The following is a 24,741-nucleotide window of genomic DNA, read 5'->3' as shown; positions in this document are numbered from 1 at the left end:
ATACAAGACCGGATAAATTACATTTTTGAAAAGAGGTTTAATGGACTCACAGTTCCACTTGGGTGGGGAGGCCTCACAATCAAGGCTGAAGGCGAAAGGCATGTCTACGTGGCAGCAGGCAGGAGAGAGAATGAGAGCCAAGGGAAAGGGGAAATCCCTTATAAAACTCTCAGATCTCATGAGATGAATTCACTACCATGAGAACAGTATGGGGAAAACTGCCCCCATGATTCAATTATCTCCCACTGGGTCCCTCCTACAACACGTGGGAATTATGGGAGCTAGAAGTCAAGAGGAGATTTGAGTGGGGAAACAGCCAAACCATATCATCCTATACCTCTGGAACAGGGATCACGCTGAGGAAGTGACAGAGGGAAAGAAATTGGTGGGGAAGGAAATAGAGAAAAGGAAGAAGGAGAGAAAAGGAAAACGGGAGCTGCACAGAGGAGGGATGAAGAGTGGCATAAAATAAAGCCTGTGAGCCAGGGAAGGCAAGATGATGGGGACCGTGATAGCTGGTGGGGGCCTGCAGGCCACAGGGCATCACCAAAATGCCCCCTTGAGTGGGCCAAAGAGGCAGTGTATCCTGTGGGGTATCACATTGTCAGGACAGACTGAAGGAAAGGAGAAGATGGTGAGGGGAAGCAGCAGTAATCCACACTTGACCTCTGACACCAGGGATTCCAGAAAGCCACAGAAAGGTTAGGTCCTAACACAGGCAGAGGTTCCACCTGGGCTCACTTGTTCAGGAAGTCTCATAGGAAAGGAAAAAAAAAATGTTTAACCAAGGGAGCTGCCACATGAAGCATATGCGTGTTTATCTGCACATCTTTTTTTAATTATTATACTTCAAGTTTTAGGGTACATGTGCACAATGTGCAGGTTAGTTACATATGTATACATGTGTCATGCTGGTGTATCTGCACATCTTAATGCAGATGCCCAGGAAGGTGTAAACGGAAAAGAAAATACTAAGTGCCGCCCGTCTCCCACAACAAGTGAATGGACCCCTCCTGGCCAGAAAGACCCCAGAGAAACCAAAACTGAGTCACAGCCACGACAGAACAGAAGCCTGGACACGCCTCATCACACTCCCTCCCTTTTGTGGTATAAACACAACTGACCCGCTTTAATGTTAAAATAGAGATGAGACGGATACAATGGACTTTTTGTGGCCATCAGATACCAAACTACACACAAGACCTCAAGCCACGCCAAGCAAGAGTTGAGTCATGGGCGCCTACACTTAAAGAATCAACTATGTTCTGACTGCCACAGAGTTTTTCTTTTTCTCTAGCAGCTAAATAAGCACAGGTCTAGAGAAAAACAATGTTAAACAAGTGCAGCTCCACCAGATGCTAACTGATGCCCATCCCTTGTTCCATAAGCCACAAATACAGCTTTCGTTGGACAAGAGGCTGATTTCAGTAACTTTCTCCTGGTAAGAAGACCAGTGACTGGTGATCACAGACTGGTTCTGGCCAATTTACAGAGACTGTGAATTTGAGTGCCTTTGTGCCCTGAAAAGACCTTTTGATGTATAGGGCCTAATTGTAATCCATTTAAATATGATGTCTCCACCCCAGGGTGAACATGGGTCATATGTAACATGCATGTGTGTTCAATACGCATGAGTCAGGATGGCCTTCATAAATATTCATAGCTCCTTCTGTAACCTGGTGAATATGTATGTTTACCCAGTTTGTTCAGCATAAAGCTCCTACCCCATCCCTTCTCCTTTCAAGGGCCTGTCTCTGGTATTTGCCAGAGGTCATGCTTCCCAGCCAGCTAGATGGCCACCTTGAAGGTTGTAACCTTTTCCAAGAAATATAGACTCCTTTTCCAAACTTATAATTCTGTAATTTTTCAGTGATCAGAGGTGTAAAAGTGAAAGTGAGAAAACTGATCATAGCAAGAGGCAAAAAATGCTGGAGTGGGGGGATGAGGGAACTGATACTTAACTAAAAGAATTGTTAAGAGAATGGCTGGGGCTCAAAGCCAACCCCACTTAGCATTGCTCTTGCAGGGATGGGGCTCTGTGAACCTCCAGGGACAGGAGAGACTTGCCTGACAGGCACCCTGAGGCCAGAGAGGTGTCCTTGCTTCAGGGAGACCAGGACAGTGATCATCCACCCCCATATCCCCAATAAGAGAAGAGTCTGTGAAACTCTTTTGGCGAAACACACTAGACAGTTTCCCTTCTTTCTTAACAGTTTTTCTAGGACAAGATGACTTTATCTCCTGGCCTGGCTTCTGCGTGGAAGGAACTTGTCACCCATTGGAAATGACAGCAGAAAGCAGAAGATAAGAGAAGCATGAGCCTCCTTAAGTCGTGCCCCTTCTGAATCTCCTAGTGATGTGGCCAGCTTCCAGTGCTCCAGTGACAGTGACCTGCTGTCCCTGCTCCTTGGGGAACGAGGAGTCTCCCGGGACATGAGACTTCCAGTGTTAAACTGGGAATATTCTGGGCAAACCTGCATGAGTTATCACTTTAGTGGGCAGAAGGGTTGCTAGGTTCCCAAAACACAAGGTTATAAGGAAAACTGGTAGCTGATGATAGACTTTGCCCTGGTGATCACTAATTATTCAGTGTTTGTGACAATGTATTTAGCACCTTAACAAAACAGAAAGTATTCTGTTTAGTTTTTATTTTTATTTATTTATTTATTTATTTATTGAGTCAGAGTCTCGCTCTCTCACCCAGGCTGGAGTGCAGTGGTGAGATCTCGGCTCACTGCAACCTCCGCCTCCCAGATGCAAGTGATTCTCCTGCCTCAGCCTCCTGAGTAGCTGGGATTACAGGTGACTGCCACCACACCTGGCAAATTTTTGTATTTTTATTAGAGACGGGGTTTCACCATGTTGGCCAGGCTGATCTCAAACTCCTGACCTCAGGCTCACAGGCGTGAGCCACTGCACCCAGCCTTATTTCTGATTAAACACTACTCACATAGCACCATTGGATTGGGTCTAAAACAGTGCTGCTCAAGGTATGGTTTCCAGCTCATTGTGTTACCCGCCCATCTCAGCACGGGTGCAGACCCTGCAGGAAATACTTAGAAATTCCTGTAGCAATTGGTGTTGCTGTCAGCCAAGCAATCCTCTGTTGTTTTGCATTTTATAGTCTGATTTCATTTCACTTTGTAGCATTTTTTTTTTATATGTTACAGAAAAACATGGATCTATAATGAATTGCAGAAAACTTTTTGTGTTATTCCTTAGTCACAGATAGGTTAAGAAGCTGTGCTGTAAACTACTCAATTTCGTGATGCTCTGCTGGGGTGCAGAGATGTATCTAAAATTTGTACACGTTATGCTAACAAACAAGATGCTATAGGGTTTGGATCATAATCCTGAAAGACATAATCCCAAAACCCATAATTCTGAATGTTGAATTCCAAAATATCAATTCCCTAAGGATCCAAATCCCAAAGGTCTAACTCCCTAAAATCTAAACTCTCTAACAGCTAAAATCCCAAAAATCACAATCACAGCATAGGTTAATTTGGAGTTTTTTCCTTTTACTTTTTCTTCTTTTTAGGTTTTTTCACAGGATTACATTGTCAGCATTCTTTTTGCAATTTGCTATGCTATATGTATTTCATCTGCACATCATTTCCAATACCAAAGGCAGAAAGTGTGTGGAGACTTTTAGAGAATTCGAATTCATTTTATGGTCACAAATTTGACTCCATGAAAGTGCGTTATCAAAGGGTTAACCGTGTGTAAGCATTAGGCATGTATGTAAAAACGTTGTAACGTCCTCAATAAATGAAGAGATGTCCCTTTTGTATATCTGTATTTGTGAAAGATAAAATTTCTCAGGCGGCCGTGGTGGCTCATGCCTGTAATCACAGTACTTTGTGAGGCCGAGGTGGGCGGATCACCTGAGGTCAGGAGTTCAAGGCCAAGCTGGCCAACATGGCTAAACCCCATTCTACTAAAACTATAAAAATTTGCCAGGTGTGGTGGTGGATGCCTGTAATCCCAGCTACGTGTGAGGGTGAGGCTCTCAAGACTTGGGCACTTTGAGCAACTGTGTATGTGGTGGTGACCCATAGAGGTTTTTGACTGACCTCATGAAAAGTCTCTGTTCATTTTTCAAGGTATGTCAGATGATCAGAGCTGTAAAGCTGAGTGCACACAATTACCAACCACAATGATATATGTTTATACTTTTCTTTTTTTGACCTGTTATTCTATGAATATGATTCATCTGCTCACAAGTGATACACCTATGTGACAGTCATTAGTACACCTGAGGGTTTAAGCTTGCAAAAATATGTATTATTATTATATATTTTAGGGTGTAAAGTGGCCTATGAAGTGTTCTGTCCTGTTTTTATATATTTTTCAAATAAATCCCCATTTAAAATGTAAACAGATATCTTTTAAAGAATTTTTAAAGTTATTTTTTCTGGAATTATATTTGTGGGACATTGATCTTTCAGGATCTTAACATTCAAGATTTTGGGACTTCAGGTCATTGAGGATTGTGATCGCCTCCCAGGAGCCTCCATGTCAAGCATGTATACGTTTGTTTGCACATCTTAGCGAGGGAAGCCATGTGAGTTGTCTTTTCACTCTCGTGATAGTGTCCCTTGATGCACGAAAGTTTTTTATTTTGATGTCAAATATGTCTGTGTTGTTTTTGTTGGTGTTTCTGATACTTTTGGTGTCACATCCCAGAAATCCAGGTCATTAATACTTGCCCAAATGTTTCCTTCTAAACTTTTACACTTCTAGCTTTTCTATTTAGCTATTTGATCCATTTCAAGTTAGTTTTTGCATATAAGGGTGCAACTTCATTATTTTGCATGTGGATATGCAGCTGTTGCAGTGACCTCTGTTGAAGAGATTATTCTTTCCCATTTGAACAGTCTTGGCACCACAGTAAAAATCAATTGGCCAAGGATGTATGGGTTTATTTCTGGATTCTCAACTCCATTCTACTGATCTGCATGTAAAAGACATTTTTGAGACAATTAGGGGAAATTTCATTATAGATTATGAGTGAGACAATATTAAAGAGGTATTGATTCTGTGAGGAATGATAATGATATTGTGGCTATGTAACAGAATTTCCTTATTTTTCATATTTAGTGAAGTATTTGGGGATAGAATGATATGTACAGCATTTCCATTAAAAAATTATAGCCAGAAGTTTTTTTAAAAAAGAAACAAAAGAGCAGATACATGAATCAGTATAATAAAATATTGAAAATTATGTAACACAAAGATGGATATATAGGTGTTCATCACACTATAGTCTCTCCTTGCCATATGTTTGATTAAAAAAAAAAAAGAAGTTGAATTGAATAATCTTGGTGGGAGACCTTGGGCTTGCCCATTAACAGCTTACTCTTAATTTGAATCTCACAATGGAACCAGATCTTAGAGCAATGGGGGAAGCCCAGATCTTTTCTTGCTGTGAAGTCACTTCCCACCCGCAGTTCTTCAGAGCTACACTCACCCTGGATGGTACAGAGTAATCCTGAATTCCTTCCTACTGGACCTAGTCATCAATTCTGCTGGAACTCACCAAAAACTAAAAAACCCTGGGAGTGATTCCTTTTTTCTTTTTTTCAATTAAAATTATCCTGATGTTCTCTTGAATGATGATCTGCCATCTTCATTAAAGTATTTAATTACGGCATTGGATGTAATTCCCCTGGATAGACTCAATGAGTTTTTGCTACTGGAGACCTTCAGGAAAAACCCCTATGTAGGATCTGAGACACTGCATGCAGACACATGTGTGCATGCACACACACAAACACACGTGCACATACATGGGCACAGATGCACACTGCATCAAGTGATGCTTCCTTCTCATCAGACACTTCAGACTATGACTCCTGTTGTCCAGCAAGATACAACAAACTGTATGCTTTTCCAAGACACAGACTGCCCTTCTAAATAAGGAAAGAGAAATCCAGTGTCCATAGGTCTTTCAATGATAGTTCACTTTTGTAGGTATGTTGTAACCAAGGCTCTTGGTCAAAGGGCACTGCTTGATATCTGAATTCCTCTTTGAGAATTTTCCTTCCTTTATTCTTAAATTTGTAAAGATACGTATAAATATATAATTTTACACATCTATAAAACCTCTTATACATACTTATCCTTTAATACATACATGAAACAATATATTTTTGACACATAAAACCATAAATATATAAAATGATAAGTGGTTAATATGTTTCCTATTTTATAAATATATCTTCATATGATAGGTGATATAAAATCACATATATCTTTTGTATCTCTACAGCCCTCTGTGTGACCCTGTGAACCACAAGGAACTCAGTGTGGGTTAAGGAAGTGGCAGGATCCCACAACCAGGTAGAGAGTGAGGCTGCAGGTAACACCTCGGTGGTGCTTGGTGCTGTAACTGAAGGAGGGTGAAGGGGAGAGAAGCACTTTGAAAAGCCTAGCCTCTTAGAGTCCTAAAACTTGCATCTCCTTGCCTGTTCTTGCCAAGAGCTGAAAGCCATGCCTCACTTGAAAGGCCTAAAACTGTATTCTTCCTGTTTTTTACATTATTTCACTTTCCCATGAGTTGGCTGAAAAGTCAATCCTTTACCAAACATCTGCCAATCTGTGAGAGACACAACTGTGTTACAAAGTCTACTGAACCTTGTAAGAAGCCAGAACAATGAACAAAAATGCGTGGCCCATCCCTATAAAAGTAATAGATGAGGGATCATCACACGATTAATGAAAATGCATATTATGAAAAACTTAAGCATGGATTTCAAATTTCTTTGCACCAAAACAAACTTATGCTAACTTGTTAAAACATGTCTGAGTAGGATCTAGTTTGAGGCACTAAGAAGGATAAGACATCAGTTGGAAAGAAGTCCCCATCAAAACAACATGAATTCTGCTACAATTGAAGCAATAGCCTAAAATTTATGCTGAGACATGAGGGAAGAACGGTGAAATCACTGATGCTTTACAGAAAGTTAATGGGGAAAATGCTCCAAAAAATTAGCAGTTTACAAATGGGCAATTCCTTTTAAGAAGGGACAAGATGATGGTGAAGATGAAGCCCACACCAGCAGACCATCCATACATCAATTCACAAGGAAACAATTAATCTTGCTCATACTCTAACTGAAGAGGACTGACAATTAACAGCAGAAACAATAGCCAACACAACAGAAATTTCAATCAGATCAGTTTAAACAATTCTGACAAAAATTTCAGTTGAACAAATTTTCCACTTGTTGGGTGCCAAAACCGTTACAGCCAGATCATCTGCAGACAAGAACAGACCCTTCAATGGAAATTATAAACAAGTGGGATCCAGACCTTGAAGCATCTCTTCAAAGAATTGTAACAGGAGATGAAACATAGCTTTACCAGTAAGACCCTGAAGACAAAGCACAATCAAAGCAATGGCTACCAAGAAACGAAAGCGATCCAGTCAAATCAAAAGCAGACTGGACGAGACCAAACGTCATGGTAACACTGTTTTGGGTGGCTAAAGGCATTTTGCTTTATACTTTCTTCAGGGTCAAAGAAAGACAACATCTGTTTATTATTGTTGTTTTGAAGAAGTTAGCCAAATCTTTAGCAGAAAAACATCTGGGAAAGCTTGCAACTATGTTGCATCCAAAGTAAAGACTTTTATCAATTATTAAAAGAACATATCAAATCTGTAAAGTTGTCTCTGATTTACTGGCAAGTAAAAAATCATGGCAAAGACAACATGTCCAGCCTGATAGATTTGATTTTAATAAAATAAGTGTAAACATTTACATATATGCTTATATATAAAGTAATTTCAATAAATGGAAACACATGCATACAAAACTGCAAAGAGCATTTTACTGTAGCAGGTATTACAGGATTAGCTAAAATGAAAGTTTCATTTCTTATTGTGGTTTTAAGTATTTTTCCAAAAATACTAAAAAGGTCATAATTGCTTGGAAGGCTTACATAGGGGGATCACTTGAGCCCAGGAGTTTGAGTCTAGCCAGGGCACCATAGCAAAACCGTGTTTCTAAAAAAAAAAAAAAAAAAAAAATGCAGTGGAAATTATGAACAATTAACCAACCAACTGTATAGACATACATATTAATGAGGCCATTATATAAAAGTTGCTAACTAACAAGCATGTGGAAGGCACAAAATAATTTTTTACATAGAAAAGAAATTTTAGATGCAATAAACACAAATGTCAAATCCCAGTTCAGTAAGAAATCTTTTTAAATATTCAAATCCAGAATACTTTTAATGTGCTAAAGGAGCAACGACTTACCATAGGCACTGGCTTTCCCTGATTGCAGTTGATACCACCAATGAAGATCATATTGGGCATCACAGGTTTGGGATACTCCAAAACAAAGTCCATTCACAACAACCAAATTGATGTGTGGCTGTAGAGATCATATGCCATGACAGGTGCTTGGAGAACTTCAGAGGCTACTTTTAAGGCATTTTTGAAAAAATATGGGCAAAATAAATGCTCCTTTAAGAAGAAGATGTGGTTCCATACTCTCTCCTTAAAAGTCATGGCATGTGAAAATCCTGAGACATATCTAGGGCTGTAGGAAAGAGAAGCAGGGCTCTGTGCACCTTCTTCAAGATAATGACAAAGTATTCCTCTGGTGAAGACCACAGAGGGGAGGGAGAAATATTTGGCAACAATTAAGCCACACATAGCTAAAGGATCCAGAAACACCGCATCAAAAGAACTCTCCTTTAAGTATTCTACTAATTTTCAGTCATTAAACAAACTCCTGCAATGTGAAAAATTAAATTCTAAACATTTGGATGAACTCATTAATAGAGAAAATAAGCTTCGTACTTCTGCTTCCCATTGAGCATTGGCAAAAGCCATGAACTCCTGGTCCAGATCCTCCAGGGTGTATAAGGTTGAATAAGTCTTCACTGTGCAATTCAGTGATCTTCCCAGTTGCCAACTCACCTCTGGCCTGACTACAACCACCTCATGCCCCCTGAGAATGAGTTTCTCCACCACCGACCACATGGTGAACCAGTGGCTCCCATCCATGGGCACTACCAGCAGCTTCCCAGCCTCGGCAAAGCCACAGGTCAGCCGTAGACACACATATAGGGGGAAGGAGGCCAGTCCACCCTGCAGAAGCCATCAGAGAACTTCAGCCCAGAGTGAGCAGCTGTGATTCTAAGCTACTGTGATACAGTAGGTAGCATTTGCTGAGATACCTACTTGTATGTTTTCCACACAAGACTACCTTATGTTCTTTGCCCTGGGGACAGTTCATGCCCTGTGCTGCAATGGGGGTTTAGAAGCAGAATTATTCAGCAATGCTTTTGGACCTTAAGAATTCAGAATGAAAAAAGGAAAGTAAATTTGAATAAAGTTCATATTTTTGAAATGCATTTCAAAGCAAAGTTTCAATGTTATCCTCAGACAACCAAAAGCTCTCTGCCCAGAAAGGAACTGGCATCTCATGTGCCAAGGACATACAGTAAGGCCCTCAGCACTGACTTCCTAACTGGCAGGAAATGGGGGCTCACCTGTGTCTCTGCAATGCACAGACATTGTTGCTTCCATTTCCAAACCCTGAGAGGCCTTTGAAAGGCTGAAATAAGATTGAAAACCCCACCTCCATGAACCCTTCCAGAGATTTGATGGAATGTGACCATCACCTATTGTAAATGGCTTTCCTCAGATATGTTGCCTGCAGTGGGGAGTCGTGGCCCTATGCTTGCCTAAGCACTCTGCTGAGCTGCCTCTCTCAGCCTGCTCTGCTTCCTCATTCTAAACAGAGCTGTAGGCCTCTGCTGTGGGCTCACCCCATCGGTCTGGTGCCTTGTTTCAGGAATATGTATTGGTCACCCCCAGTATCCTGAGCACCCCTTGAAGACAGAGGTTATGTCTTCTTCCTATTTTCATCCTCCTTCCACAGCACCCATGCTATACTTGGCATAGAGGAAGTTCACGGAATTCTTGTTGCATTGGGCTGAATTACATCATGGAGATTTCCATGGATTAGCCCAGCAGTGTGTGTGAGGTAACACCCTGAGGAACATTTAGTGAGGGAATCAGCAGCCAACCTCAGGGCATAATTCTTGTAGGAGCACAAGATGGCTCCCTCCAGGACACATTAATGGGTACTAGACATTGTTTAGTCACCTGTCCCTTGGTGACTGGCGCACTGGTAGATGACTGTCCTTGAAAAACAAACATGACAGTGAGTGATCTACCTTCCCTGGAGGCTAACTTCAGTGTAGAAATCAATGAAATAGGAAATAGAAAAACAATGGAGAAAACCAATGACACCAAAGCTCACTTTTGGGGCAGATCAATTAACCTGACCAATGTCTAGCCAGGCTGATTGGAAAAAAAAGACAGAAGATATAAATTACCAATACCGGGAATGGGAGAGGTAGTATCACCATAGATTCTACAGGTATTAAAATGATAAGAGAATATGGACAAATTCATGCCAATAAAATCTACAGCTTATATGAAATGGACAAATTTCTTAAAAGACACAAGCTGTCAGACTTTACACAAGAAGAAATTAATAACACAAATGACATAATCTGTACCTTTTAAATTCAAATTGAATTTTGAATTCAAATGCTCCCAGAAACAAAAAGGTAAAGTTCAGATGACTTCACTGATAAATTCTACCAAACACTGAAGGAAGAAATAATACCAGTTTCTCACAATCTAGTCCAGAAAACAGAGGGAGGAGCCAAGATGGCCGAATAGGAACAGCTCAGGTCTACAGCTCCCAGCGTGAGCAACGACGCAGAAGACAGGTGATTTCTGCATTTCCATCTGAGGTACCCGGTTCATCTCACTAGCGAATGCCAGACAGTGGGCGCAGGTCAGTGGGTGCGCGCACCGTGCGCGAGCCGAAGCAGGGCGAGGCATTGCCTCAGTCGGGAAGCACAAGGGGTCAGGGAGTTCCCTTTCCGAGTCAAAGAAAGGGGTGACGGACGGCACCTGGAAAATCGGGTCACTCCAACCCTAATACTGCGCTTTTCCGACGGGCTTAAAAAACGGCGCACGACGAGATTACATCCCGCACCTGGCTCGGAGGGTCCTACGCCCATGGAGTCTCGCTGATTGCTAGCACAGCAGTCTGAGATCAAACTGCAAGGCGGCAACGAGGCTGGGGGAGGGGCGCCCGCCATTACCCAGGCTTGATTAGGTAAACAAAGCAGCCGGGAAGCTTGAACTGGGTGGAGCCCACCACAGCTCAAGGAGGCCTGCCTGCCTCTGTAGGCTCCACCTCTGGGGGCAGGGCACAGACAAACAAAAAGACAGCAGTGACCTCTGCAGACTTAAATGTCCTTGTCTGACAGCTTTGAAGAGAGCAGTGGTTCTCCCAGCACTCAGCTGGAGATCTGAGAACGGACAGACTGCCTCCTCAAGTGGGTCCCTGACCCCTGACCCCCGAGCAGCCTAACTGGGAGGCACCCCCCAGCAGGGGCACACTGACACCTCACAGAGCAGGGTATTCCAACAGAGCTGCAGCTGAGGGTCCTGTCTGTTAGAAAGAAAACTAAAAAACAGAAAGGACATTCACACCAAAAACCCATCTGTACATCACCATCATCAAAGACCAAAAGTAGATAAAACCACAAAGATGGGGAAAAAACAGAATAGAAAAACTGGAAATTCTAAAAAGCAGAGCACCTCTCCTCCTCCAAAGGAACGCAGTTCCTCACCAGCAACGGAACAAAGCTGGAGGGAGAATGACTTTGACAAGCTGAGAGAAGAAGGCTTCAGATGATCAAATTACTCCAAGCTACGGGAGGACATTCAAACCAAAGGCAAAGAAGTTGAAAACTTTGAAAAAAATTTAGAAGAATGTATAACTAGAATAACCAATCCAGAGAAGTGCTTAAAGGAGCTGATGGAGCTGAAAACCAAGGCTCGAGAACTACGTGAAGAATGCAGAAGCCTCAGGAGCCGATGCAATCAACTGAAAGAAAGGGTATCAGCAATGGAAGATGAAATGAATGAAATGAAGCGAGAAGGGAAGTTTAGAGAAAAAAGAATAAAAAGAAATGAGCAAAGCCTCCAATAAATATGGGACTACGTGAAAAGACCAAATCTACGTCTGATTGGTTTACCTGAAAGTGATGGGGAGAATGGAACCAAGTTGGAAAACAGTCTGCAGGCTATTATCCAGGAGAACTTCCCCAATCTAGCAAGGCAGGCCAACATTCAGATTCAGGAAATACAGAGAACGCCACAAAGATACTCCTCGAGAAGAGCAACTCCAAGACACATAATTGTCAGATTCACCAAAGTTGAAATGAAGGAAAAAATGTTAAGGGCAGCCAGACAGAAAGGTCGGGTTACCCTCAAAGGGAAGCCCATCAGACTAACAGCGGATCTCTCGGCAGAAACCCTACAAGCCAGAAGACAGTGGGGGCCAATATTCAACATTCTTAAAGAAAAGAATTTTCAACCCAGAATTTCATATCCAGCCAAACTAAGCTTCATAAGTGAAGGAGAAATAAAATACTTTACAGACAAGCAAATGCTGAGAGATTTTGTCACCACCAGGCATGCCCTAAAAGAGCTCCTGAAGGAAGTGCTAAACATGGAAAGGAACAACCGGTACCACCCGCTGCAAAATCATGCCAAAATGTAAAGACCATCAAGACTAGGAAGAAACTGCATCAACTAACGAGCAAAATAACCAGCTAACATCATAATGACAGGATCAAATTCACACATAACAATATTAACTTTACATGTAAATGGACTAAATGCCCCAATTAAAAGACACAGACTGGCAAATTGGATAAAGAGTCAAGACCCATCAGTGTGCTGTATTCAGGAAACCCATCTCACATGCAGAGACACACATAGGCTCAAAATAAAAGGATGGAGGAAGATCTACCAAGCAAATGGAAAACAAAAAAAGGCAGGGGTTGCAATCCTAGTCTCTGATAAAACAGACTTTAAACCAACAAAGATCAAAAGAGACAAAGAAGGCCATTACATTATGGTAAAGGGATCAATTCAACAAGAAGAGCTAACTATCCTAAATATATATGCACCCAATACAGGAACACCAAGATTCATAAAGCTAGTCCTGAGTGACCTACAAAGAGACTTAGACTCCCATACATTAATAATGGGAGACTTTAACACCCCACTGTCAACATTAGACAGATCAATGAGACTGAAAGTCAACAAGGATACCCAGGAATTGAACTCAGCTCTGCACCAAGCAGACCTAATAGACATCTACAGAACTCTCCACCCCAAATCAACAGAATATACATTTTTTTCAGCACCACACCACACCTATTCCAAAATTGACCACATAATTGGAAGTAAAGCTCTCCTCAGCAAATGTAAAAGAACAGAAATTATAACAAACTATCTCTCAGACCACAGTGCAATCAAACTAGAACTCAGGATTAAGAATCTCACTCAAAACCGCTCAACTACATGGAAACTGAACAACCTGCTCCTGAATGACTACTGGGTACATAACGAAATGAAGGCAGAAATAAAGATGTTCTTTGAAACCAAAGAGAACAAAGACACAACATACCAGAATCTCTGGGATGCACTCAAAGCAGTGTGTAGAGGGAAATTTATAGCACTAAATGCCCACAAGAGAAAGCAGGAAAGATCCAAACTTGACACCCTAACATCACAATTAAAAGAACTAGAAAACAAGAGCAAACACATTCAAAAGCTAGCAGAAGGCAAGAAATAACTAAAATCAGAGCAGAACTGAAGGAAATAGAGACACAAAAAACCCTTCAAAAAATTAATGAATCCAGGAGCTGGTTTTTTGAAAGGATCAACAAAATTGATAGGCCGCTAGCAAGACTAATAAAGAAAAAAAGAGAGAAGAATCAAATAGATGCAATAAAAAATGATAAAGGGGATATCACCACCGATCCCACAGAAATACAAGCTACCATCAGAGAATACTACAAACACCTCTACGCAAATAAACTAGAAAATCTAGAAGAAATGGATAAATTCCTCGACACATACACTCTCCCAAGACTAAACCAGGAAGAAATTGAATCTCTGAATAGACCAATAACAGGATCTGAAATTGTGGCAATAATCAATAGCTTACCAACCAAAAAGAGTCCAGGACCAGATGGATTCACAGCCAAATTCTACCAGAGGTACAAGGAGGAACTGGTACCATTCCTTCTGAAACTGTTCCAATCAATAGAAAAAGAGGGAATCCTCCCTAACTCATTTTATGAGGCCAGCATCATTCTGATACCAAAGACAGGCAGAGACACAACAAAAAAAGAGAATTTTAGACCAATATCCTTGATGAACATTGATGCAAAAATCCTCAATAAAATACTGGCAAAACGAATCCAGCAGCACATCAAAAAGCTTATCCACCATGATCAAGTGGGCTTCATCCCTGGGATGCAAGGCTGGTTCAATATACACAAATCAATAAATGTAATCCAGCATATAAACAGAGCCAAAGACAAAAACCACATGATTATCTCAATAGATGCAGAAAAAGCCTTTGACAAATTTCAACAACCCTTCATGCTAAAAACTCTCAATAAATTAGGTATTGATGGGACGTATTTCAAAATAATAAGAGCTATCTATGACAAACCCACAGCCAATATCATACTGAATGGGCAAAAACTGGAAGCATTCCCTTTGAAAACTGGCACAAGACATGGATGCCCTCTCTCACCACTCCTATTCAACATAGTGTTGGAAGTTCTGGCCAGGGCAATTAGGCAGGAGAAGGAAATAAAGGGTATTCAATTAGGAAAAGAGGAAGTCAAATTGTCCCTGTTTGCAGATGACATGATTGTATATCTAGAAAACCCCATCATCTCAGCCCAAAATCTCCTTAAGCTGATAAGCAACTTCAGAAAAGTCTCAGGATACAAAATCAATGTACAAAAATCACAAGCATTCTTATACACCAACAACAGACAAACAGAGAGCCAAATCATGAGTGAACTCCCATTCACAATTGCTTCAAAGAGAATAAAATACCTAGGAATCCAACTTACAAGGGATGTGAAGGACCTCTTCAAGGAGAACTACAAACCACTGCTCAATGAAATAAAAGAGGATACAAACAAATGGAAGAACATTCCATGCTCATGGGTAGGAAGAATCAATATCGTGAAAATGGCCATACTGCCCAAGGTAATTTACAGATTCAATGCCATCCCCATCAAGCTACCAATGCCTTTCTTCACAGAACTGGAAAAAACTACTTTAAAGTTCATATGGAACCAAAAAAGAGCCCGCATCGCCAAGTCAATCCTAAGCCAAAAGAACAAAGCTGGAGGCATCACACTACCTGACTTCAAACTATACTACAAGGCTACAGTAACCAAAACAGCATGGTACTGGTACCAAAACAGAGATATAGATCAATGCAACAGAACAGAGCCCTCACAAATAATGCCACATATCTACAACTATCTGATCTTTGACATACCTGAGAAAAACAAGCAATGGGGAAAGGATTCCCTATTTAATAAATGGTGCTGGGAAAACTGGCTAGCCATATGTAGAAAGCTGAAACTGGATCCCTTCCTTACACCTTATACAAAAATCAATTCAAGATGGATTAAAGACTTAAACGTTAGACCTAAAACCATAAAAACCCTAGAAGAAAACCTAGGCATTACCATTCAGGACATAGGCATGGGTAAGGACTTCATGTCTAAAACACCAAAAGCAATGGCAACCAAAGACAAAATTGACAAATGGGATCTAATTAAACTAAAGAGCTTCTGCACAGCAAAAGAAACTACCATCAGAGTGAACAGGCAACCTACAAAATGGGAGAAAATTTTCGCAACCTACTCATCTGACAAAAGGGCTAATATCCAGAATCTACAATGAACTCAAACAAATTTACAAGAAAAAAACAAACAACCCCATCAAAAAGTGGGCGAAGGACATGAACAGACACTTCTCAAAAGAAGACATTTATGCAGCCAAAAAACACATGAAAAAATGCTCATCATCACTGGCCATCAGAGAAATGCAAATCAAAACCACAATGAGATACCACCTCACACCAGTTAGAATGGCAATCATTAAAAAGTCAGGAAACAACAGGTGCTGGAGAGGATGTGGAGAAATAGGAACACTTTTACACTGTTGGTGGGACTGTAGTTCAACCATTGTGGAAGTCAGTGTGGCGATTCCTCAGGGATCTAGAACTAGAAATACCATTTGACCCAACCATCCCATTACTGGGTATATACCCAAAGGACTATAAATCATGCTGCTATAAAGACACATGCACACGTATGTTTATTGTGGCATTATTCACAATAGCAAAGACTTGGAACCAACCCAAATGTCCAACAATGATAGACTGGATTAAGAAAATGTGGCACATATACACCATGGAATACTATGCAGCCATAAAAAATGATGAGTTCATGTCCTTTGTAGGGACATGGATGAAATTGGAAATCATCATTCTCAGTAAACTATTGCAAGAACAAAAAACCAAACACCGCATATTCTCACTTGTAGGTGGGAATTGAACAATGAGAATACATGGACACAGGAAGGGGAACATCACACTCTGGGGACAGTTGTGGGGTGGGGGGAGGGGGGAGGGATAGCATTGGGAGGTATACCTAATGCTAGATGACGAGTTGGTGGGTGCAGCGCACCAGCATGGCACATGTATACATATGTAACTAACCTGCACAATGTGCACATGTACCCTAAAACTTAAAGTATAATAACAATAATAAAAAATAAAATAAAAAAATAAAATAAAATATAATTCAGATGGAAAAAAAAAAAAACAGAGGCATGCGAAATATCCTGATTCATTCTGTGAGACCAACATTACCACAATACCAAAACAAGATAAAGATGTGACAATATAGAAAAACTACAGACCCTCATGACCTTAGATACAAAAATGTAAAACAATATTTTAGCAAATCAAATTCAATAATGATATGGTTTGGCTGTGTCCCCACCCAAAGCTCATCTTGAATTGGAACTCCCACAATTCCCACGTGGCGTGGGAGGAACCTGGAGGGAAGTAGTTGAATCATGGGGACGGGTCTTTCCCATGCTGTTCTCATGACGGTGAGTAAGTCTCACGAGATCTGGTGGTTTTAAAAATAAAAGTTTTCCTGCACAAGCTCTCTTTCTTTGCCTGCTGCCATCCATTAAGATGTGACTTGCTCCTCCTTGCCTTCTGCCATGATTGTGAGGCCTCCCCAGCCATGTGGAACTCTAAGTCAATTAAACTCCTTTCTTTTGTAAATTCTCCAGTCTCAGGCATGTCTTTATCAGCAGCATGAAAACAGACTAATACAGTCAATTTGTACCAGTAGAGTGGATTGCTACTGAAAAGATACCTAAAAACGTGGAAGCAACTTTAGAACTGGGTAACAGGCAGAGGTTGGCACAGTTTGGAGGGCTCAGAAGAAGACAGGAAAATGTGGGAAAGTTTGGAACTCCCTAGAGATTTGTTGAATAGCTTTGCCCAAAATGCTGATAGCAATATGGACAAAAAAGTCCAGGCTGAGGTAGTTTCAGATGGAGATGAGGAACTTGTTGGGAACTGGAGGAAATGTGATTCTTGTTATGCTTTAGCAAAGAGACTGGCATCATTTTGCCCTGACCTAGGGATTTGTGGAACTTGAACCTTAGAGAGATGATTTAGCGTATCTGGTGTGAGAAATTTCTAAGCAGCAAAGCATTCAAGAGGTGACTTAGGCACTGCTAAAGGCATTCAGTTTTAAAAGGGAAACAGAGCATAAAAGCTTGGAAAATTTGCAGTCTGACTATGTGATAGAAAAGAAAATCCCATTTTCTGAGGAGAAATCCAAGCCAGCTGCAAAAATTTCCATAAGTAATGAGGAGCCAAATGTTAATCCCCAAAACCATGGGGAAAATGTCTCCAGGGCATGTCAGAGGTCTTCATGGCAGTCCCTCCCCACCACAGGCTGGAGGCCTAGGAGGAAACAATGGTTTTGTGTGCCAGGCCCAGGGCCCCCTGCTGTGTGCAGCCTAGGGACTTGGTGCCTTGCATCCCAACTGCTCCAGCCGTGTCCAAAAGGAGCCAAAGTACAGCTCACACCATGGCTTCAGAAGGCGCAAGTGCCAAGCCTTGGCAGCTTCCATGTGGGGTTGAGACTGTGGGTGCACAGAAGTCAAGAATTGAGGTTTGGGAACCTCCCCCTAGATTTTAGAGGCTGTATGGATATGCCTGGATGTCCAGGAAGAAGTTTGCTGCAGGGGCAGGACCCTCACAGAGAACCTCTGCTAGGACAGTGCAGAAGGGAAATGTGGGTTTGAAGCCCCCACAAAAAGTAACGACTGGGGGACTGCCTAATGAAACTGTGAGAAGAGGGCCACCATCCCTCCACCCCAGAATGTTAAGTCCACTAGTAGTTTGCACCGTGCACCTGGAAAAGCCACAGACACTCAATGCCAGTCTGTAAAAGCAGCCAGGAGGGAGGTTGTACCCTGCAAAGCCACAGGGGCAGAGCTGCCTAAGACCATGGGAACCCACCTGTTGCAACAGCAAGACCTGGATGTGAGACATGGAGTCAAAGGAGATCATTTTGGAGTTTTAAGATTTGACTGCCCCACTGGATTTTGGACTTAATGTAGTCCCATTATTTTGGCCAATTTCTCCAAGTTGAAATGGCTGTATTTGCCCAATGCCTGTACCCTCACTGTACCTACGAAGTAACTAACTTGCTTTTGACTTTACAGGCCCATAGGTGGAAGGGACTTGCCTTGTCTCAGATGAGACTTTGAACTGTGGACTTTTGAGTTAATGATGAGACTTTGCGGGACTGTTGTTAGGGCATGCTTGGTTTTGAAATGTGAGGACATGAGATTTGGGAGGGGTCAGGGTGGAATCATATGGTTTGGCTGTGTCCCTGCCCAAATCTCATCTTGAATTATAACTCCCACAATTCCCACATGTTGTGGGAGGATCCTGGTGGGAGGTAATTGAATCATGGGGGTGGGTCTTTCTCATGCTGTTGTCTTGATAGTGAATAAGTCTCACAAGTTCTGATGGTTTTAAAACAGGAGTTTCCCTGAACAAGCTCTCTTTCTTTTCCTGCTGCCATCCACATAACATGTTACTTGCTCCTCCTTGCCTTCTGCCATGATTGTAAGGCCTTCCCAGCCATGTGGAACTGTTAAGTCCATTAAATTTCTTTCTTTTGTAAATTGCCCAGTCTCTGGTAGGTCTTTATAAGCAGCATGAAAATGGACTAATACAAATAATATTTTAAAATATGTAATACATAAAAAATCATAAACCACAAGCAAATGAGAGTTATCCCTGGGATGTAAAGCTGGTTTTAACTTTAGAAAATTAATCAAGGTTGTACAGTCATGTTCACAGCAGCTTAACTCACAACAGCCAAGAGGTGAATGCAACCCAAGTGCCCATCTCCATATGAGTGCATAAGCAAAATCTGGTAACAATGGAATAAAATTCAGTCTTAGAGAAGGAAATTCTGACACATCCTACAACATAGATAAACCTTGGGAACTTTGTGCTAAGTTAAATAAGCCAGTCACAAGACGACAACTGGTTTAATCATTCTACTTGTATAAGGCACCTAAAATAGTCAAATTCACAGAAGCAAAGAGAGGAATGGTAGTTGCCAAGGGCTGGGAGGAGGGAGAATGAGGAATTATTGTTTCATAGACCCCAAGCTTCAGTCTAGGAAGATGAAAAGAGTTCTAGAGATAAATGGTGATATCGGTTGCACAGCAATGCGAATGTCCTCAATACTGCACTGTGCACTTAAAATGGTTAACATGATAAATTTTATGCTATGTGTATTTCACCACAATTAATGATAAGATAAAGAATTTTTGTAATAATTGGTCAGGCATGGTGGCTCACACCTGTAATCCCAACACTTTGGGAGGCCAAGGTGTTTGGATAGCTTGAGTCCAGGAGTTCAAGACTAGCCTGGGGAATGTGGTGAAACCCCATCTCTACAAAAAAATACAAAAATTAGCCGGGTGTGATGATGTGTGCCTGTAATTCCAGCTACTAGGGAAGCTGAGGTGGGAGGATTGATTGAGCCCATGAGGTCTAGACTGCAGTGAGCCATGATTGCCCCACTGTACTCCAGCCTGGGTGACAGAGCAAGACCCTGTCTCAAAAACATACATACATACATAAATATAACAAAAAATTATTCAATGTAAGACACTAAATAAATAAACCAGAAAAGAAAACCATGTAGTCATCTCAGTAGGCGTAGGAAAAGTGTTTGATCAAATTCAACATCCATTCTACATTTTTGCTTTTCTTTTTCTTTTCTCTTTTTTTTTTTTTTTTAAGACAGGGTCTCACTCTGTCACCCAGGCTAGAGTGCAGTAGCACAATCACAACTCACTGCAGCCTTGGCTTCTGAACTCAAGCAATCCTCCCACTTCAGCCTCGCAAGTAGCTGGGACTACAGGTACATGACACCGTGTACAGCTGATTTTTAAATTTTTTTGTAGATAGGGGGTCTCACCATGATGTCCATGCTGGTCTGTAACTCCTGGTCTCCATTGATCCTCCTGCCTCAGCCTCCCATGAGCCACTATGCCCAGCCTATTCTTGTTCTGTTTTGTTTTGAATGCGGAAGTTCAGGACAGGCCCTTTTGGAGCTCATAAATGTGGTCACCTGTCTCATGTCACCTCTCTGCTTCATGACCCTCATAGGCACAAGGCAGCAGCTGAACCTACAGCTGCTCCACCTTTCTCATGCTCCTCTGTCAGCTTCTCCCATACCTGAGACAGGTATGTGATTAGCTCTGTGAGGAAGGGTGCCAGCTTCTTCTGAAGGCCATCCACATTTTCAAGGTAGGAGGCATTGAGAACTGTCCAAGTTCCAGTCCCTTCTGTGGGTCCTGGATTCTCCTCGCTGTCCCCACTTTACATCCGTCTACCCTTCCTGAAGACCCACCCTGGGGTCCTTAAGCTCCAGCATCAGACACCAAGGCCATTTGCAGCGATCGTCCAGCCAGCTCCCACCATGCCTGTGGCCAATCCCTCACCATGTATATGCATAGCGGCTCTGCTTCTCTCACTAAACCCTGACTGCTATAGACTGGAAGCAGGGTCTGTGGCAAAGTAACACCTTGTACAATTCTTGACTCGAAATACAAGGGGCAGAAGGGAGAGGGGCAAGGGTAGAGTCTAGACCACAGCTCTATTGCAGTTTCTGCAGGAAACACAGATAGGGCAGGAGAAACAGTTTAGGACAGGCTAGTTTGAATAATTTCAGTGGGCTCTGAGCTACAAGGGTGGGCCCTTTGCTGTCTCTAAGAATTAACTGACCTGCAGAGGGACACTGCATCCCCAGTAAGAAAGTGACTTTAAGACGCAGAAACATTACAACATACAGAAAATGTAAAAATACAAATAATATAGCAAGTATGCTTTCTTTTCTCATGACTAAATACCTAGCAATGGAATAGCTGTGTTCTATGGTAGGTGTATGTTTACCTTTTTTTTTTTTTTTTTTTTTTTTGAGATGGAGTCTCGCTCTGTCGCCAGGCTGGAGTGCAGTGGCACGAATCTTGGCTCACTGCAACCTCTGCCTCCTGGGTTGAAATGATTCTCCTGCCTCAGCCTCCCGAATAGCTGGGACTACAGGCATGTGCCACCACACCCAGCTAATTTTTGTATTTTTAGTAGAGATGGGGTTTCACCGTGTTGGCCAGGATGGTCTCGATCTCTTGACCTCATGATCCACTTGCCTCGGCCTCCCAAAGTGCTGGGATTACAGGCATAAGCCACTGTGCCTGGTTGGTGTATGTTTACCTTTTAAAGAATCTGCCAAATAATATTCCAAAGTGGCTGGACCCATGTCCCCTCCCACCACCAGGATCTCTTCACACTCACCAGCACCTGGTGTCTTAGTTTGTTTGTATTGCTATAAAGGAATATCTGAGGCTAGGTAATCTACAAAGAAAACATGTTCCTTGACTCATGGTCCTGGAGGCTGAATAAGACACATGGCGCTAGCACCTGCATCTGGTGAGAGACTCGGGCTACTTCCACTCATGGCAGAAGGTGCCGATCACATGGTGAGAGAGAAGCAAGAGAAAAAGAAGGGAGGTGCCAGGCTCTTTTAAACAATCAGCTCTTACTGAAAGTAATAGAGGGAGAACTCACCCATTACCGAGAGGAAGGCACCAAGACATTAATGCAGGATTCACCCCCATGACCCAAACACCTCCCACTAAGCCTGACCTCCAACACTGGGGATTAAATTTCATCATGAGATTTGGAAGGGACAAATATCTAAACTGTATAATTTGATATTGTCAGTCTTTTTCCTCTCAGCCATTCTAATGGGTGTGTAAATTGTGGTTTTAATTTGATTTCTCTAATCACTACTGGTGTTGAATGTCTTTACATGTGCCTGCTTCCCATCTGTATACCTTATTTGGTAAATGTCTGTTCAAATCTTTGCACATTTTTAAAAAAAAATTGGTTTATTTTCATTTCTCTTCATTGAATTTTAAAGGTTCTTTATACATTTTGGATATTTCTTCTTTACCACATGCATGCACTGCAAATATTTTTTCCCAGTCTGTGGATTTTTTTTCCATTCAACTTTTTACTTTGGAATAAATTTAGATTTACAGCAAGTTTGCAACAAATAGCACAGAAAATCCCCAAATATCCTGTACGGGTTTCCCCTATCGTTAAATGTTATGTTACTGTAGCATATTTATCACAACTCATTAACCAACATTTGATACATTATGATGAACTAAAGTCTATGTTTTCTTCAGATGTCATTAATGTTTACCTAATGTCTTTTTCCATTTCTGAGATCCCATCCAGGATACCACATGACATTTAATCATTTAATCATATGTCTCCTTCACCTCCTCTAGCCTGTGACAGTTTCTTAGACTTTCCTTGTTTTTGATGACTTTGACAGTTTTGAGAAGTTCTGGTCACTTTTTCTGTAGAACGTTCCTCGGTTTGAGTTTGTCTAATGTTTTCATCATAGACTGGGGTTATGGTTTTTGGAAAGAAGACTACAGATGTAATGTCTTTTCTTGCTTTCTTGGGTATGGGATATCCAATTGCTGAAAAGACTATTCTTCTCTCCACTGAATTGCCTTTGCACCTTTGTAAAAACTTGGTTATTCATACAACTGTGTATTTCTGGACTTTCTATTCTGTTTCATTGACATATTTATGAAATATTTGATTACTATCCTTTGTAGGAGGTCTTGAAATGAGTCAGTGTTCACTCTCTTTTTTTTCTTGTTTTCCATTGTTGTTTTTGCTATTGTAGGTCCGTTACATTTCCATAAGAATTTTAGAATCAGTTTGCCAATTTGCACAAAAAAAAAGCCTGCTGGGATTTGGTTGGGATTGTATTGAATTTATAGATGAACTGGGAGAACTGACATCTTAAAAATTTTGAGTTTTTCAATTCATGAACATGACTGTGTATTTAGGTCACTCATTAAAGTTTTGTAGTTTTTAGTGTACAGTCTTTCACATCTTTTGTCAGATTTAGCCCTAAGTATTTCATATTTTTATGCTATTTTGAGTGGTATTTTCATTCCAATTTTCAATTGTTCATTGCTGCTACAGCTGACCCTTGAATAAAGCGAGGATTAGGGGCACCAACTTCGTGCAGTCAAAAATGAGCATAGAACTTTTGACTACCCTAAAACATAACTACAGTAGCCTACTGTTTGCTGGAAGCCTTGCCAATAACATAAAGTCAATTAATAAATATTTTGTGTAATATATGTATTATATGCTGTATTTTTCTTACAATAAAGTCTGCTAGAGAAAAGAAAATGTTAAAATTCATAAGGAAGAGAAAAGATCTTTACTGCCAGGCGCGGTGGCTCAGGCCTGTAATCCCAGCACTTTGGGAGGCCAAGGCGGGCAGATCACCTGAGGTCAGGAGTTCGAGACTAGCCTTAACATGGTGAAACCCCGTCTCTACTAAAAATACAAAAAATTAGCCGGGCGTGGTGTTGCATGCCTGTAATCCCAGCTACTCGGGAGGCTGAGCCAGGAGAACTGCTTGAACCTGGGAGGCAGAGGTTGCACTGAGCCGAGATCACGCCATTGCACTCCAGCCTGGGCAACAAGAGTGAAACTCCATCTCAAAAAAAAAAAAAAAGAAAGAAAAAAAGAAAAAGAAAAGATCTTTACTATTCATTAAGTGAAAGTGTATCACCATAAAGGTCTCCATGCTCACTGTCTCCCATTGAGTGGGCTGTTGAGGAGGGGTGGGGGTAGGGGGAAGTTGGTCTTGCTGTTTCAGGAGTGGCAGAGGGGGAATTGGTGGAGGAGGTGGAAGGGGAAGCAGGAGAGACAGGCACACTCAGTTTGACTTTATGGAAATACATCATAATTACTGTCTGATAGTTTTGCTTTTTCAATTCTTTAAAAATGCCTGAGCTGTGCGCAGTGGCTCACGCCTGTAATCTCCGCACTTTGGGAAGCTGAGGTGGGTGGATCATGAGGTCAGGTGTTTGAGACCAGCCTGGTCAACACAGTGAAACCCCATCTCTACTAAAACTACAAAAAATTAGCTGGGCGTGGTGGCGGGCACCTGTAATCCCAGCTACTTAGGAGGCTGAGGCAGGAGAATCACTTGAACCTGGGAGGCAGAGGTTGCAGTAAGCCAAGATCGCACCACTGCACTCCAGCCCAGGTGACAGTGCAAGACTCTGTCTCAAAAAAATAAAATAAAAATAAATAAATAAATAAAAATGCTTGCATACAGTACTAA

General features: G+C 41.5%; 1 pseudogene and 1 further gene, besides 2 other annotated features; both read right to left on the bottom strand.

Annotated features, from left to right (window-relative positions):
• UGT1A (UDP glucuronosyltransferase family 1 member A complex locus) overlaps nt 1-9,122 on the bottom strand; it is a 187,861-nt gene extending 178,739 nt beyond the window's left edge.
• Nucleotides 1,249-1,298: an enhancer, noted in NCBI's record as "active region_17350". NCBI's record gives its function as "activates an Ori minimal core promoter by ATAC-STARR-seq in GM12878 lymphoblastoid cells {active_cell/tissue: GM12878}" and the evidence as "EXISTENCE:reporter gene assay evidence [ECO:0000049][PMID:35858748]".
• On the bottom strand, nt 8,270-9,122 carry UGT1A12P (UDP glucuronosyltransferase family 1 member A12, pseudogene; annotated as a pseudogene).
• Nucleotides 10,923-11,513: an enhancer, noted in NCBI's record as "H3K27ac-H3K4me1 hESC enhancer chr2:234491694-234492284 (GRCh37/hg19 assembly coordinates)". NCBI's record gives its function as "activates a minimal SCP1, AML or CMV promoter by ChIP-STARR-seq in naive H9 embryonic stem cells {active_cell/tissue: H9 hESC(naive)}" and the evidence as "EXISTENCE:reporter gene assay evidence [ECO:0000049][PMID:30033119]".

Source organism: Homo sapiens, chromosome 2, assembly GCF_000001405.40.
Source record: "Homo sapiens chromosome 2, GRCh38.p14 Primary Assembly".
Taxonomy (NCBI): domain Eukaryota; kingdom Metazoa; phylum Chordata; class Mammalia; order Primates; family Hominidae; genus Homo; species Homo sapiens.
The sequence above is the reverse complement of the archived record's forward strand: the minus strand, read 5'-3'. Positions and strand labels throughout refer to the sequence as shown.